Source organism: Homo sapiens, chromosome 13, assembly GCF_000001405.40.
Source record: "Homo sapiens chromosome 13, GRCh38.p14 Primary Assembly".
Classification (NCBI taxonomy): Eukaryota; Metazoa; Chordata; class Mammalia; order Primates; family Hominidae; genus Homo; species Homo sapiens.
The window spans coordinates 42,831,458-42,849,541 of NC_000013.11; the positions used below are offsets into that span (position 1 = coordinate 42,831,458).

The following is an 18,084-nucleotide window of genomic DNA, read 5'->3' on the forward strand; positions in this document are numbered from 1 at the left end:
CTATATGATATGGTTTGGCTGTGTCCCCACCCAAATTTCACTTTGAATTGTAATAATCCCCACATGTCAAGGGCAGGGCCAGGTGGAGATAATTAAATCATGGGGCCAGTTTCCCCCATACTGTTCTCATGGTAGTGAATAAGTCTCACGAGATCTGATGGTCTTATAAATGAGAATTCCCCTGCACAAGCTCTCTTTCCTGCCACCATGTAAGACATGACTTTCCTCCTCTTTTGCCTTCAGCCATGATTGTGAGGCCTCCCTAGCCATGTGTAACTGTGAGTCAATTAAACCTCTTTCCTTTATAAATTACCCAGTCTCAGGTATATCTTTATTAGCAGCGTGAGAACAGACTAATACACTATACAAAGCAGCCATGTGAATCTTCCCTAATCAGGAGTTTCCATAATTTAGTCCAATACAAAAAATATTCTTCATTTTTTATTGCAACATTGCAAAGTACAACTTTCTTTGCCTTAGTGTCAAGGCCAGGACATAGTATACTCTCAATAAATAACTGATGAATAAATGAATCTGAACTGAGCCTCCCTATTCAAACTTATATTTTACAATCGTATGGCTCTAAACATACTACTTTATACACATGGATGTAAGTCCTGTCCCAAGGATGCATCAGCACATTTTTGTCTGTGCCTCTTGCTAGTGCCACATTTCCTGTGTCTCTGGGAAGCCCTCCTAGCCGCCTCCCCACTGCCATCATTCTAAAGCTGAGTCTTGGCCCACCTTTTCAATAGACTCTTCTCCAAACACCACTCTCTTTCAAATGTCTTTAAAACTCCTTGTCTGCACCACTCATTTGCTACCTTAGAATATGCTACTGGAAATTGTTATCTTCTGATAAATGTGGCCTGTCTTTCCAAATAGGATCCCCATAATTTATCAGCGTCTTTGAAACTGGAAACTACAGTTGTTAGCTCTTATATCATAACTACTTAGAGTACTGAAACAAAACATTTGGAGGAAAAAGCAACATTTATTCCCCGTAGGTATGAATGACACATTCCCATGTCTAACCCCACTGCAGGCTGAACAAGGACCTGACAGGAAACCACAAGGCAGCAGCCCTTGCTAAGCATGACAATGAATCAGAAACCTATCGACATCCTCTTTCCCATCAACAGGACAGAATTACAAATCTATTTCCAGGGACAGCTCCATCAAACCCACCATCTGTCAATGGGTATTTCATAATTTATTTGGTTTGATTACTAAAGATTCAGGCATTTTTAAAATTAGGAAGTGGGAGAAAAGGATTAGGAGGTCTTCCTGGACTCTTTGTGCTATATTAAAGTATCCTCCTGATATAACGCCGCGGCCTTCAGGCTTTGGAGAAGAGTCAAGTAGCAAATATCCATGTTTTGATCCCGTTCCACAACATCATCCATTCCACTCCAAAGTTCAAGAGCCAAAGGGGTTATAGAAACAATCTGTTTAACTTATGACTCAAAGCAACCGAGACAGGCCAGATCTACAGGCTAGTTGAGTTTTTTCCAAAGCCACTACCCACAAAGATGAGAAGTCCTTCCTGGACTTCCCAGTGATGGTCCAAGCCCTCCCCACCCCCACTTCATGACGCAACACTCTTGGGGATATTCTGTCACGCCACTTATCACAGTGTATTTAAACTTTGTGTGCCTCTTTACTCCAAATGGAATATAATGTCCTCAAGATTAGGGCTTCTGTATCCTTATAACTTCAGTCCTCAGAAGAGTATCCAGCAAAGAGTATACCTGTAATGTTTATGGTGAACAAAACCTGACAGCTTATTGTGATTTTCAACATTAGATTATCCTAACACCATTTCAGAAAATGTAGGCTGTATGCTCTACTTCGCCATGGATGCATACTGCAGTTACATTCATCTCGACAGATTTTCAAAGATTTTTTCAACAACTATTTGCATAACATATTAACATTAATGAGGCATTTTCACATATGTTATGGAATTAATCCTCACAATACCTGTAAGGAAGGTATTATTATTCCCAACTTACAGGTAAGGTAACTGAGGCTAGGAGAGATCAGATGTGGTAGGCAGAATAATAGCCTTCCAGATATATCAGGTCCTAAGCACTAGAACCTGTAAATGTTACTTTATCAGGAAAAGGGTCTTTGCAGATGTGATTAAGTTACGGATCTTGAGATAAGAGATCATTCTGGATTATCTGTTGGGGCCTAAGTGTATTCTTATAAGAGGAAAGTAGAGGGAGAGTTTATACATACACACACACACACAAAGGCATGGCGGCAAACGTTGGCATGGTGCAGCCACAAACATGATCTCTTCCAGAGCTTCCAGGGGAGCACAGCTCTGCTGACATCTCAATTTTGGCCCAGTGGAATCGATTTTGGGACTTCCAGCCTCCAAAACTGTGGAGGAATAAATTTCTGTTGTTTTAAGCCACAAAGTTTGCAGTAATTTGTTACAACAGCCACAGAAAACTAACACAATAAATATAAATGGTCAGCTAGGAAGTAGATGGCATGGCTAACTCCTTCCTATTTCCTCCTTAACATTGAACGTATGTTTGTGTGACATGCCCAGTCCCAAATGAAGCATTTTATATGAATTACATTTTTCAATACTCACAGGTTTGTTAATTAAGATGTAATTGTAATTGTTATACCCATTAAAAATGAAAAAAAATGAAGGTACAAAAAGGTTAAATTATCCACAATAGCTTATACATGCTTTAGTAAGTTATTTGCACATCTGATAACAAATATGCAAAATAACATTTTTAAAGTTTTAACTGTGTTCAATCTCCCTCCCAAATCAGCTTCCCCTCTCCTTGGATTGTCTTTGTATGTCCTACGAAATATCTCCCCCAACTTCAGTGAGACATTATGAAGCACCCACTGCCTTAGGATATTGGGGCAGAGAGAAGAGAACAATGGAGTGAAATTATTTACTGACATGTGACAAGCTAAAGTGCAGGTACAAGATGGTACAAATTTGGAAAAATAGACTCATCAGTCCATGTCCATCAGTCCAGGAAACAATTTCCTGGCTCAGGAGAAGGGGAGAGAGGGATTCCATGGGCAGGAATGGAGGACCATCAGGAGGCTGTTCAGATTTGCTACCTCAGAAGCTTTGTGGTGGCAGAACCAGCGCTCAGGCCACAGCAGTCTGGGCATCACTCACTGACGGACAAGCAGGAGTGAAGCTCATCTGACTTTTGCTAAGTTCTGTCCAACCCACCTGATAAGGACAATCACCTCCCCTCCCTCTTCAATGACATGGGGCACTTAAGCAACCACAAACAACTAGGAAGGAGGGCAGGGCCTTGACACCCGGAGGGATGGAAGCAATGGCATCCGGAGAGCCCCTAGGACTAACTGAACTGAACCATTTGGTGGTCTACCTTGTGCTTCTCAGGCTCTCCTCCCTCTTACCCTTAACACTGTGGCAATCAGGCAGCAACCCATTAGACCAAGAATGTATCTAATAGTCCCATTGTGCATAGTAAGCTATGGAGGGGCCTGATGCAATTGGGTTTGTCTGTTGGGAATCTGACATAAATAGTGACACTGATTTATTATCAGTGTCTTCTAGATTTCTCCACAATACTCAGAGATTTTTATAATATATTCGGTCTGTTATTTCATCATGCACCATACTGTGGGGGCTTCTTGGGTCATACTGCAGATATTTCTCTTAACTCATTCATCTCTGATAAATGATTCATTAGTAAACCAACGGCAGTCATGGAGCAATGCACACGTTAGGCTTCCTTCCCTTTACCAATGACATAGGTCCCAGTGCCAGGCCTTGTAATGATTTAAGAGCTAGAAAGGGCAAAGCACCAATTACAGTCCATCAGGCTTGGTCCACTGGGTGAGGAGGAACTAGCAAGCTTAACCTTTTACACTTATGCTAACATGTAGGTCACCAGGATCCACTTACTCAAAGACCTTTTCCGAACCACTTCAAAGAATTAACAGCATCTTCCACCATAAGCAAATAGATCTTTTTTTCAATCTACAGAAACAGGCTCAAAGCACATGCACATATATATATATATATTAATATATATAAACATATACATATAATGTTAAAAGTTCTCTTTCATGCGAACATTTGGGGGATTCTTAAAAGAAGGGAAATGGAATAATATTACACAAGATGACAACATTATTAAGGGCGGGCCTCTAAGAGGCTCTCTATTAGGCTAAAATGGTATGGTGTGTCTACGGCCATACCACCCTAAATGCGCCCATTCTTGTCTAAGATGGAATGGTGTTTACAATATATCTTTTATTTAACACCATTCCACAAATACCTTCATCAATTTTATTTCTTTTTTTTTCTTTTCTTTTTTAGAGATAGGGTCTTGCTCTGTCACCCAGGCTAGAGTGCAGTGGTGTGAACGTAGCTCTCTGCAGCCTCAAACTCCTGGGCTCAAGCCATCCTCTTGCCTCAGCCGCCTGAGTAGCTGGGACTACAGGCACATGTTACTATGCCAGGATAATTTTTAATATATATATATATTTTTTTTTAGAGACAGGTTCTCACTACGTTGCCCATTGAGAACTCCTGGTCTCTAGTGATCCTCTTGCCTTGGCTTCCCAAAGTTCTAGAATTGCAGGCATGAGCCACCTCACCAGGCCAGTTTTCTATTGGATATTATATGTTTCGCCCCTGATGAAGCACCAGGGGGAATAAAATTCAATTCGTTTGCCTTACAGAAGTCACTGGTCCCCTACCTGATGCCCACCCAAGGTGAATTTGCCCTGCCATTGTCATGTCTTCTCATTAAATATTCCTCAGGCTGGGCACGGTGGCTCACGTCTGTAAACCTAACACTTTGGGAGGCCAAGGCGGGAAGATCACGTGAGGTCAGGAGTTCAAGACCAGCCTGGCCAACATGGTGAAACCCAGTCTCTACTAAAATACAAAAATTAGCCAGGCGTGATGGCGGGTGCCTGAAATCCCAGCTACTTGGGAGGCTGAGACAGGAGAATCACTTGAACCCGGGAGACAGTGGTTGCAGTGAGCCGAGATCATGCCACTGCACTCCAGCCTGGGCAGCTGAGTTTGACTCCATCTCAAAAAAAAAAAAAAAAAAAAAAAAAAAAAAAAAAAAAATATATATATATATATATATATATATATATATATATCCCTGACACATTAAATCATTCCAAGACACAGACAAGGCCACTAAAATGACCCATCTCTGCCCTTTGGGATCCCACAGCTTACAGCATATGGAATTCATTAAAGTTTGAGTTCATCTACAGGAGCGTCACTGAGCAGAAACCACAAGTAGCACAGAGCAGAGTCAGACTTCACATTAGTACTCTTCCACTCTCACCATGAGAAAACGATGCTCTTTCTCTTTAAAGGCCTCCCAGTTAGCTTGCAAGCCCCTTCTACATTCCTAAGGGTGAATTACCCTTATAATTATTATCAGTATTGAATATTTACTAAGTACCCATACTGGGTGAGATCATGAAGTTGTTTGACACGTATATATGGCAGAAATATTCCAAGTGTATTTAGCCACTGTTAATGTTCTTCCAGAGCTGAAAATAGCAGGGACGAGTGTACTTGACCTGATCTTTTGCATGTTGACTCCTTTAACTAAGTCTAAACAGAGCAGAAACCTTGCCATCGGAGAAGCGTTTGCAAAAGGGAGACCAGGTCAGAGCATGAGCAGCAGATGGGGCTTGAGAGCCAAGAATGAAAATCCCAGGATGTGGCCAAACTCTGTAAATCATTATTGACTGAGCTCCATGCCATCTTAATGGCTTTTACTACCTCTTGGTTCCAATTCAAAGTGCATATTAAAGCAAGCAGCACTGCAAAGACCAGAGGGGCTAGAATAGTAAACTACCCATAGTTTAGTAATCATTATGCATTAATTATTCAGAAGCTGGATCTCCTCTTTGCAAACATTAAAACCAGTGACGGCAAAGAAATATGCCCCTCTTTTGGAGGATGAGAAGGAGTAGTACTATTTGGGGTTGATGCTGGCACGATATTTAGCAGAGCATGACAGCTTTAGTAGATAAAAAAACGTGATATAGTATCATACAAACTGTTAGCAATGTATTGGAAGACTCAAGTATTCCCCGAGGGGCATTTACATCGGATTTGCTATGATTGCAATATCTGCACAGTGATGCATTACGTGTTTTATTCTCTTTATTATATGTTTTCATTACTTTGTGTGTTAGAATGCAATAAAGAAAGCTGAAGCAATAAAGGTTGATTGATAATAATAATTCTGCAAAGATGCAACTTCCTTTCTAAAGCAGTTCTAGAGCTGGAGGAACCAATGGCATCTGATCATCTGTTCTTTTGTAAGATTTTATCTTCCTTTCTGATAAAGAAATAGAAATTGGTTTGGAAGCAGCTTTCAGTGACAGCTGGCACTGCATGGTAAAGGAGGAGAAAGGTAGGGAAGATTGTGTTCTATTTAGAAGGCTGAATCCTGCATGTGGTTCAACTCTGCTTCTCTCTTTTCTTTCATGTTCTACAACTCAAATATCAGATGTTCTCTTTTAAAGGAAAGAAAAAACATTTTTCAGGATCAACACTGCTTGGGCTTTCTAACTGACATCCTATCCTACTCTCTAAAGTGTGTTTAAACCTCTTCTCTAGGATTCTTTTTAAACTGGGATCATTGAAATCAGGAACTTAACACGTGCATGTGTGTTGGGGTCCAGGCTCCCAACCTAAGCTTAAAATGAGCTTCAGACATGGCTGAGCATGTGTGATGCACTGGTAAAATTATGCACTTAGAGTAGATTTTTCACAGTGGTTTTGTTTGGGGCTATTCACATTCATCCAGGGAAGTGATTGGACTGGAAACAGAAGCTAGTGTGTGTCAGGGGTGTTGGCGAGAGGAGGTGCATGCAGAAATTGAATGAAATGGTTTCACAAGAGGCTTTGGAGACCTAGGTAACTAAGAGTACTGATTAGGTGGGGAAAAAAAAAAAGCAACACAGAGTCAGGGCAAGCAGCACCCTCCCCACTTCTATGTCAAGCACAGAAGGGCTCCATCTGGGTCAGGATGCCTGGTGACACACTCCCAGCTTCCCAAGGATTTGTGGCTGTGGAGCACAGAGAGAGAGAACACCTAGTCCTGGTCATGGATATCAGCAACTGTGGAAAGAAGGCCACCAGACTTCCAGACATGGAGCAGCACAGCCTAAATGACTCCAAGAGCAACACACATCAACCCGTTCATTGTGCAACAAAGCAGGGCTAAGAGCACCTTCCAGGCACCTCCCACGACCTCCCAGAAATACTTGGGGAAAATTATGTGGGGAATTGAGATCTTGTATTATGTCAGTATGGGCATGAATCATTGAAATTTGGGTTATATATATTAAGTGGCTTTATTTGTACCCACAAACAGATAAGGTTTTGGGGAAATTGAGGTCATATATGAAATAAAAGAAAAAACTCCATTTGTGATTGTGAAAGACAGTCACTCTCAGTATGTGATTTTCTAAAAGGCTCACGCACTATAAGCAACCATCAGTTAAACACATTAATGGAACAGAGCAATGATCTATTCAGGTCAGGACAGTGAGTCCTCACGTGTGGGAGAGTCATTGCAGAAGATGGCATAAAGCTTAGAGGCAGCTAAAGATTGACATCAAACTGGTAGGGCATTGCTTACCAAAACATTGACCATATGATTTGGGAGGCCAAGGTGGGCAAATTGCCCGAGGTCAGGAGTTCAAGACCAGCCTGGCCAACATGGCGCAACCCAATCTGTACTAAAAACACAAAAATTAGCTGGTTATGGTGGCTCACGCTTGTAATCCCAGCTACTCAGGAGGCTGAGGCACAAGAATAGCTTCAACCCAGGAGGTGGAGGTTGCAGTGAGCCAAGATCATGCCACTGCACTCCAGCCTGGACAACTGAGGGAGACTCCATCTCAAAGAAACAAAAACAAAACAAAACAGACATGGCCACATGATAATCAAGTAGAATGCTTGTTAAAGTGCAGATTACATGGGCTCTGCTTCCCAGGGGTTTTGACTCAGTCAACTTAGATATTTTACAAACACACTCCCTTGAGGCAATCTTGATAGAAGTGGTCTTCAAATCCCTCTTGGGTAAGCACCATCATATTTAGGGTATACCATAAGGGTATGTCAAGGCCATCTGGGTCTGCATTGTCAACCTAGAGGCTAACCCATTGTCAAGGAAGTCATGCACCAAGGCTGTGCCCAGAAGAAAGAGAATGCTGTAGAGGCAGACAGTGAAGTAATGAAGGCAGCACGGGATGCTGTGACCAGCCTCAGGGGCAGAAAACAGGAAGTCAGGAGGAGCAGAGAAATGAACTGGGGGTGGGACAGGAGCACGGACACACAGGGCTATGGAGTCATGGCTTTTACACGGTGCCCTTGCGTTGATGTCAGAGGTTCCATGTTGGGGGGACAGTGATGAATAATGCTCAAGAGATAACTACCTCTGATCATTTATTTCAAGTGATTTTGTAGCCACTATGTATGGTGGGCATTTTTAGAGATGCCAAATTGACTTAAGTATATTTTTCTTAGCTAGTAGAATTATTTGCTATTGAGTTATAGGTGTGTTAGTGTTCAAGTCCAGCTTCTGAAAAGCTCTTTATTTCTTCAAAGATATCATTCCTCAGAGGTTACCTTATACTAGTATGGTAGAGAGAACATGTATTTTGGAGGCAGAAAGACTGAAATTCAAATCCTAACTCTACTCACAAACTGGGTGACATTGGACAAGTTATATGACCTCTTCGGGCGTCAGTTCTCTTTTCTATAAAGTGGAGATAATTATACCTAGCTCACAAGTTTTTGTGTGGATTAAATAAAATGTGTACACAGTACCCCTCACAGTGCTTGAGATTTAATAGGTACTAAATAAATGGCTGCTATTACTATTATTACCAGACTGGTTTATAACTGCGAATGGCTCATCTTTCTAAAATTGTGGTGCTCAGGTTACTATACTTTTCCAAATTTTAGGTAAAAACTGAACTATTTTTCATAATGCCTCAGCATAAACATTTACTTTTATTTGTGTTATATTAAAATAGGATATAAGATTAGTGTGAGTTTTAAAAAATATATCAACACTTGGGGAAGATTTCTGTTTCACACACTTAATTGATTCCTTGTTTTTCTTACACTTAAGCAAAATGTGTCCGGTACACTGACAATTCTTGATTTACATATGCCTGTTTTCTGTGCATCCTCCAGGAACAGATGTTCACCTAAGAACAGCAGGCCCAGATAGACCACTCTGGAGTCACAGAAAAAAGAGCAAGGTGGGAAGTGACAGGAGCAAAGGTAGTAAACAGGAAGAGGAAAGTTCATCCCTGCGGGGCCACTTTTTCTGGGTGTTCGCTATTCCAATGTCTCGTAATGGATTACTAGAACATGATTGGTACATTCTATAAAATGATGAATTTACAAGGTGCTTTAGGAGCACAGAAAAGAGCACAAATAAGAGGCAAGTTCAGGACAGCTTCAAAGAGAAAGTGATATTCGATCTGGGTCTTGAGATTATAAAGGTAGAAGACAGTCAAGAATACTGCAGGCAGTGAGACTAGTACAAGCAGAGAAAAAAAGAGCAAGTAGCATGTTGTTAAAACTGTGTGTGTGTGTGTGTGTGTGTGTGTGTGTGTGTGTGTGTGTTTGGAGGTGGTGATAGAGGACTGGAGATTAAGACCAGGTCAGGACTGGACAGGAAATCATTTTTAATCCAAGCTATAAAGTTAACACTTTATCCATAAGATTCAACTAGCTTTAAAAAAGTGGTTCCAGTGGCAATATCTGTATAAATTGTAAGGAACAAGAATAGAGGTGAGGAGACCAGTCAAAAGACTAAAGCCTACTGCAACATCTTTTACCTGTTAGTACTTCTTACACAGCACCCCCACTTCCCAGACTAACACAAAGTAGAGGTGATCCTACAACAGAAGAAAAGGGACATTGCCCTTAACTTAGATTATCAGTGACTCAAAATGAAATTCAGCCTTTGTTTATGCCCAGCTAAATTTCATTTAAGACCTAGAATTGTAGATTTTGCCAATTTAAAAGACTTTTTTACTTTTAAAATAAGTATGTTCCAGATTTGCAACTTATTCTATCAAAAATATTAGTTACTGGCCAGGCTCAGTCGCTCATGCTTGTAATCCCAGCACTTTGGGAGGCCAAAGCAGATGGATCGCTTGAGCCTAAGAGTTCGAGACTAGTCTGGGCAACATAATGAGACCTCGTTTCTACAAAAAATAAATAAAATTATCCAGGCGTGGTGGTGCATGCCTGTGGTCCCAGCTACTTGGGGCTAAAGTGGGAGGATAGCTTGAGCCCGGGAGGTAGAGGCTGCAGTGAGCTGTGATTGCACAATTGCACTCCAGCCTGGGTGAGAGAATGAGACCCTACCTCAAAAAAAGAAAATATGTGTGTGTGTGTGTGTGTGTGTGTGTGCGCGCGCATGTGTGTTTGTGTGTGACCTAGACCTGCAAAACTCAGATTCTGAAGCTAGATTCAATCTGATTCTCACAATACATTCAAACTACTTAGAGCTCTTCTCAGAAGATCCACACTACCATGAAGGGGCCACAGTTTGGACAAGGAGACATGACACTGGGTCTAGAAATCTGCTGCTGTGACCTAAGGGAGAAGAAATGAGCATCTCAAAATTATGTAGAACCCACAAAAAATCAGACTGTTTGCACTTGATTTTCTTCAATCCCCCAATATAGTTGCAGTTTCCTCCCTTCCCTTAAATCACATGACCTCTATAACTTTGGACAATTACTGATTAAAGTTTTATTTAGCCAATCAATTTAATCAAGTGTCATTTGATTTCCTTCAAATCCTAAACTAATTGCCAAAACTAGACTCAGTGATGCTGCAAAAATTCTGAAGAAATTTTTGCCAAGTGAATTTTTGCCAAGTGAATTACTGAATAAAGCAATACTTACTTAATAAAGCAATTATTCTCTCTTCAAAAGAGAGAAATTCTGTTCTTTGATTTCTTTTGTGATTCATTGAAATGGACTTCTTAGGCCTTAGGTCTTCTATTGTCAGACATGTTCAACAATTTTCTTCACATCTTCCTACTTTTCAAGAAAATGGGCAAAATTACCATTCTTTTCTGTTTCAAATTACAGTTTCATGAGACTTTCATTTCATCATGAGTGAAATACCATGAGCAATTAAAAAAGGCTCCATATTTAAATACCACTTATGTAGCAACATCATCACCTTCTAATGAGTAAATCCATCAGAGAAACAAGAACAAAGCAAAAAGTAGTTCAATTTCAAAACTCCATTCAATGCCCATTTAAAGGCAATAAAAGTTCTGACCTCAGCACATCTTACTGGCTCTTCCTGGAAGCCCCCGTCCTCCTTTGGTGTCTTCTGTCATCTTCAGTTCTACGTAGATGATAGACTCTCTATCTTGAAGACATCATGGAAACATGAAAGAATAATGAACTTGCAGTCCAATTCCAGAAGATATTGGTTCCAATCTAGTCTTTGCCACAGAATAGCTCTGTGACCTAAGGCTAGACAATTAACCATTCTGGCTCAATTTCCTTAGGCATAAAATAAAGGTAAAAATAACCTACTTCCTATGGTGTGTGTGTCTGTGTATGTATATTAAGTGTATATTAAAACACCTTGATAATTTCCAGTTACCCTCAAGGAAAACATTTAAGCTTATTACTGCACAAAAGGAGTCTGCTCACACAAACTCAAAAAAGAGGATGGAAGAAATGGATCCAAATATATCAGTAATAACAATTGATATAAATGAATTCAATCACCCAAAAGACAAAGAATGTTAAACTATGTATATTTATATATTTAATATTTTTTAAAATAGTCCTACCTCGGCTGGGCACTGTGGCTCATGCCTGTAATCGCAGCACTTTGGGAGGCTAGGGCGGGCAGTTCACCTGAGGTCAGGGGCTCAAGACCAGCCTGGCCAACATGGTGAAACTCCATCTCTACTAAAAACTACAAAAATTAGCCAGGCGTGGTGGTGGGCGCCTGTAATCCCAGCTACTTGGGAGGCTGAGGCAGGAGAATCGCTGAACCTGGGGGATGGAGGTTGCAGTAAGCTGAGATGGCACCATTGTACTCCAGCCTGGGTGACAGTGCGAAACTGTCTCAAAAAAAAAAAAAAGTCCCACCTTGAAAGAGAATTTACAGAAAGCATATTTAAAACAGAAATTTACAGAAAGATTAAAAGTATATATTAGGAATTAAAGACCAGGCATGGTGGCTGATGCCTGTAATCCCAGCACCTTGGACGGCCGAGGCGGGTGGATCACCTGAGGTCAGGAGTTCAAGACCAGCCTGGCCAACATGGTGAAACCCCATCTCTCTACTAAAAATACAAAATTAGCCAGGCATGGTGGCGCATACCTGGAATCCCAGCTACTTGGGAGGCTGAGGCAGGAGAATTGCTTGAACCCAGGAGGTGGAGATTGCAGTGAGCCGAGATTGCACCACTGCACTCCAGCCAGGGCAAAAACAGTCTCAAAAAAACGGTCTCAAAAAAAAAAGGAATTTAAAAACCTAGTACAGTTAAATTAATATCAGACAAAATATTGGCTTTAAAGGAAAAAATTATTATATCAATGGAGAGAGCTTCTATATATTAATAAAAAGGAAATTCTCCAGAAGAATACAAAAATTCTAAACATGTATGCATACAATAAAACATCTTTGAAACATATAAAATATAATTATAAAATGGAAAGAAAAAATTGATAAATCCACCATTATAGTGAAAGATTCTAACATCTTTCAATAATTTACAGACCAAGAAAGCAAAGAATCAATAAGTATATGGAATATTTAAGTAACCCCATTATTAACTCCTACTTTAATGTACATTTATAGAACATTCTATTCAAGAATGCATGGAATATCTATTAAAAACTGACTAAATAAGGAAAGCCTCAATAAATTTTAAAGACTCCTATCATAATCTGCATTTGCTGATCTCAATGAGATTCAATTAGAAATCAATGTCACCCATATCCATAAAACAAATTGAGCCAATTTTAAAATTTTTCATAAAGGGAAACCCAAGATCAGACAGTTTTACATGGTTGTTCAAACAAATATTTAATAAACAAGTAATTCCAGAATCAAAATGTACTTCTTTTTGTGTTTTGGTCAAGAAATAATTTTTAACTATAAATGTAAGCTATTTTACATTTTCTTAGAAAAGTTGTGAAGTTTTGCCCATCATATTTAAATTGCTGTTACATTTGAAATTGATGTGAAGTATGGGTCTAATTTTCTAGTTTTTCATATCTTAATATTCTACAGTGCCATTTCTGTTGTGTATCAGATTTTCATATATAGTTTATCTGTTTCTGAGTTTCCTATCTGCTGCGTTGATTACTTACTACCACTATGCCAATATCTACTAAAATAATTACCAGTTTTTAATGCTTGTAAGTAGCCAAGTCTCTTCCACCCTTAACTCCACACCTTGCCACCTTATGCTTCTTTAAGAGCATCTGGACTATTTATAACACTTTGTTCTTTCTTACAAATGTTTAGAATATACTTAGAAAGTTCTGTAAAAATTCTTGTTGAGATTTTGATTGAAATTTCTTTAAAACTGCAAATGAATTTGGTGAGAACTAACATATTTACAACATATTTATAACACTGGTACAAAACATGGTATTTCAACATGTTTTTGCATAGAAAAGTTCAGCATTGTAAAATGTTCATTTCAACATTTAATTAAAATATGTTCAATATTCATTTCTAGTTTCTTTAGGGTCTTTCAATAGAATTGCTATAGTTTGGTTCTTATTGGTCTTTTTGCTTTATTTGTCTTGTTCTTATACACTTTATAATTTTACTGCAGCTAATTAAATACATATACTTTCTATTTAATAGAGTAATGTATATTGAGCTTTATCCAGCAAACTTACTGAGCTCCCTTACTCATTTTAATTTTTGTCCCTACATTCTTATGGGTTTTTCTACAATAATTTCATCTATAAGTAACAAAATTTTTGTTCCTGCTTCTCCAATCTTTATAACTATCATTTCTTTATCTTGTGAGTTTGCTTTCTGAAAATTTTACCAATACATTTCATCTAAGTAATAATAGTGGGTGTCTTTGTCTTGCTGCTGTTTTTAAAAGAAATATAACATTTTGCCTTTGAGTTTCCTGTTGTTTCATGTTTTGTTATTTTAGGTATGCTTTATCAGATTAAGGAAGTTTCTTTCTACTTTTAGTTTTCTGATAGCATTTTATCAAATGCTTTTTACGTATTTATTGAGAAAAACTTTCATCTGTTAATATGGTGTTTAAATAAGCTGTTTTTCTAATGCTGAACTTTGCTTTTCTGGTATGTGCCCAACTTGGTCATACATTATCTTTTTCATGGATTCCTGAATTCACATTGCTAATATTTTAGTTACTACTTTTGCATCTATGCTTATGAGCATAATTAGTCTGCAGAGTTTCTTTCTCATGTTCCCCGTCATGTTTTGATATCAAGACTTTGCTAAAATATAAATGAGATTCAGTAGCAAATAACAAATCATTCTAGCTATTTTAAGCAGAAAGAGGGTTAGATGCTTACAAATTTCTTAGATGAGCTGGTTGTCATAGCAGATTCTAGGATGAAACTCCAGGACAGATTTCTAGAAGAATCCTGCTTAAGTGGCCCATCAAGTTCATCGTTATCTCTGCCACAGTCAGGAAACTAGATGTGACGGTTAATTTTATGTGTCAGTTTGGCTCAGCTATGGTGCCCAGTTGTTTGGTCAAACACTAATCTAGATATTGCTATAAAGGTATTTTGTAGATGGGATTAATATCTACAATCAGTTGACTTTAAAGAACATTACTTTTAAAGATAATGTGGGCACACATTATCTAATCAGTTGAAGGTGTTAAGAGCAAAAATTGGGATTTTCTAGAGAATGGAGAATTCCACCTCACCATTTTATTTATTTTACTTTTTGCCTCAACATTTTAATGTAAATCCTTCCTGAGCTTCCAGCCTGCCAGCCTGTCCTACAGGTTTCACACCCAAGACTATATCACTTCCTATCTCAGTTTCCAGCCAGCTGGCCTGTCCTACAAATTTTGGACTTGCCAGTCCCCAAAATCACTCAAGCCAATTCTTTAACATATATATCTTCTATTTTTTCTGTTTCTTTGGAGATTCTTGACTGATATATGAGGGAATCAGGAAACCACTTCAGGAATACAGTAACTTATCTGCACTCTCTGCAATCTGGGAATTGGAAAGCTGCTAAGAACTATGGGCTTTAATGTGGCTTTGCTTCTGCTAGACTCAAAAGAGTGAATGGTGCCTTCAGCACTGCTGCCACTAAAATTTGTATCCAAAACATATCAAGATCCTTCAAAACAAGGATTCCTGACAAACGCTATATGGAAGAGCAGACGAGAATGAGATAGTACAGATGTCAAACAAGACAATCTACCATGTCTGCCACATCAGCTTTACATAATCAGGGGCAATATTCCTTTTATATTTATTCTTTAAAAAGGTTTGCATAAGCATCATAAGGACTTGAGATTATAAAAAGAAGACATTCTCACATTGTTGAGACAGGCTTGAGCTGTCTTCAATTTAAGTAATAAAAAAAGTGGCTAAATTTTCATTTGTCTATAAACAGATAAAAATGATATATCAACATTGAGAGTTCCAGACAGTTATGTGGCAACAGCTATAGGCTTTCCTAATTGATGAGCCTAAGGGAGACCAGCATTAGACACAGAGTAAAGGGAAGGTATGATGAGTGCCCCAATAGACATGAGTTTGTTTCAGGAAATCTACCCTGGGACAACTATCATACATTCTATTTCACATACACACACATGCGCACACATGTACACAAGCACATACATTTCCCAAAGTTACCATGAATTTAGAATTGAGTATTAGAATGTTTCATCCAATATCCCACCAGGAAAAAAAATCAGAACAGGCAGAACTCCCAGACTGTCCAACTCACCAGGGCACAAGATCTTATTTTTATCACAGAAGAGAAAGTCATATTTCTTATCAAAATGAAGCCATGTGGCAGGAAGAACCAGTCGTATGAACTTGGATAAGCCACTTACCCTCTCTAATCCCCAGTTTCTTCCAATTAAAATGAGGATAAACTAAATCACAAAAAATAATTATGTTCAAGCAAATTATTTTTCTTAGTAGGAACCTAATAAGTGTGAACTGAATTAAACTAAATTAAGCTGGGGCTATTTCCAGCATATAGGGGTTCATAGAGTCATCCTAGCTGTTATGAGTGAGGTCCTTTGAGGCCTTACAGGTACAGGGTCACAAGACAAGGCTCCTTGTATTTCTATGAGACATGCTACACACAGATCACTTCCAGCTGGATTCCTTCTGTACCAAGATCAGCCATGTCAGGTGTCTCACACACCTGCTGAATGTTGAGAAAATCTACTAGGTACAGACTCCCTCAGAACCTGGTCACCCGCCAGCAAAACAGCCCTCCCCAGGGCATAGTGCAAAGCCTTCTTACCACCTCCTTCTAGGACCTAGCTCACATCTGGAACACCTAGATCCAATGAGACACTAGCCTATTGTCCAACATCTCCAAGACAGAGTCTTAGTAACAACATATAAACAACCAACCAAACAAAAACAAAGGAAACAACAGAATCCAAAAGCAAGCCCATAAGAAGTTGGGTTGCACAAAGAAAACAAACAAGCCTTTGGGATTTAGTCACCTTGGCTATGAAGCCTATTTCTTAATTGGGCATTTTCTCCAATGTTGATCAGAGGCAGCTAGCATCTCTTCTATCCCACCTATGACAAGGGTGAGGTCAGCACTCAACAAATAAGAAAGAAAATTTATGGTAAAAACGTGAGGTTAAAAACCCTAGGCAACTTTTGGCCAACTCCTGCTTTTGAAATTCTAAATTGCAAGCTGAACCGTGTGGTTCCACATACCTTCCTGACTAGTGACATCTCTCTTGGGAAATGACTCAAATGTGCATTTGTCTTTCTGGGAATGGCTGAGTTTTCTAAAGGCCCACTGTCCTTACAAGCCTACATACTTTTTGTTGAAGGAAAACCTTGTGAAAAGCAAAATATTCAAGAGTTATTAGTAGGCATACACATAAGCTTTCATACTTACCCACAGCCCTCTGAGCAGGCCTCCCTGTGGTTACTAAATTTTTTCTCTTGCTGAGATTTCCCAGCATGCTCTAGGATTATCAAGTAAAACCAAATATTAAGAGGAAAATCTTGAAAATCCTTCAGTGCCTGGGGTGGAAACAAATCAGACGAGTTCTCCACTCTGGCACCAGCCAGCTGAGTCACAAATACTGACCTATCCCATGCTGAGAAGACTCAATCACGAGTTTCTATCCATCAAATTTCCAGAATACATTGCCGTCTCACAAATGGGGGAAATGAAGTATATAAAACAGTGGGAACGTTTGCAGAAATAACAGTTAATATTTATATCAGGCATTTATCGGTACATGGCAAAGTTGAGAAATTTTTCTCTGAGCATTTCTTTCTGCCTTTAAGGCCTTAGGTTGGATAGATTCTGGATTTCTTAATCATAGAAGCTATGCACCATGTTTCAATTTGCAACTCAACATAGCTTTTGTCAAAATAAGTGCCAAATCCAGAAAACAGTTGCCATTAAAAATGAGAAAAGGCTGAGCTGGAGACAAAAACATGAAAGCCTATATTTCCTGGTCAAATGAATTTTATCACAGCGCATTTTTAGTATCTTTTTAATGTATTCTACTTGGTTGCTCAAATTGTGAAAACTACAAAATAAAAATTAAGTGGCTGTGTAATATCTGACTTGTCAGCTTTTCCACCTGGCATTTCTTTCTCTTGCAGCATTGATTCACTGTCTCAAGGAGGAGATGCATGAAATGTGGAAAACCACCTGTCTCGTTTAGTGGAATGGGAAGTGTAATGGGCTGGAAGGGAACCCACCTCTACAACATTATGCTTTCTGTCCTTAGGCAAAATACCTTGGCCTTACCTGTGTTTAAGCTTTTACAAGAAATGTCATTCTCAGTAAAGAAAACAGAGTCTAAGATG

The 18,084-nt window shown here is 39.1% G+C and overlaps 1 long non-coding RNA gene across 1 annotated transcript in view; it reads right to left on the reverse strand.

The window, feature by feature from the left end:
• Nucleotides 1-10,954: 10,954 nt before the first annotated feature.
• The window catches only part of LINC00428 (long intergenic non-protein coding RNA 428), a 30,333-nt gene continuing 23,203 nt past the window's right edge, over nucleotides 10,955-18,084 (reverse strand). The window contains exons 4-5 of the long non-coding RNA NR_126389.1: nucleotides 11,342-11,430; nucleotides 10,955-11,094 (exon numbers count right to left, since the gene is read on the reverse strand). This is a non-coding gene — a long non-coding RNA (long intergenic non-protein coding RNA 428). The remainder of the gene's footprint in view (nucleotides 11,095-11,341; nucleotides 11,431-18,084) is intronic.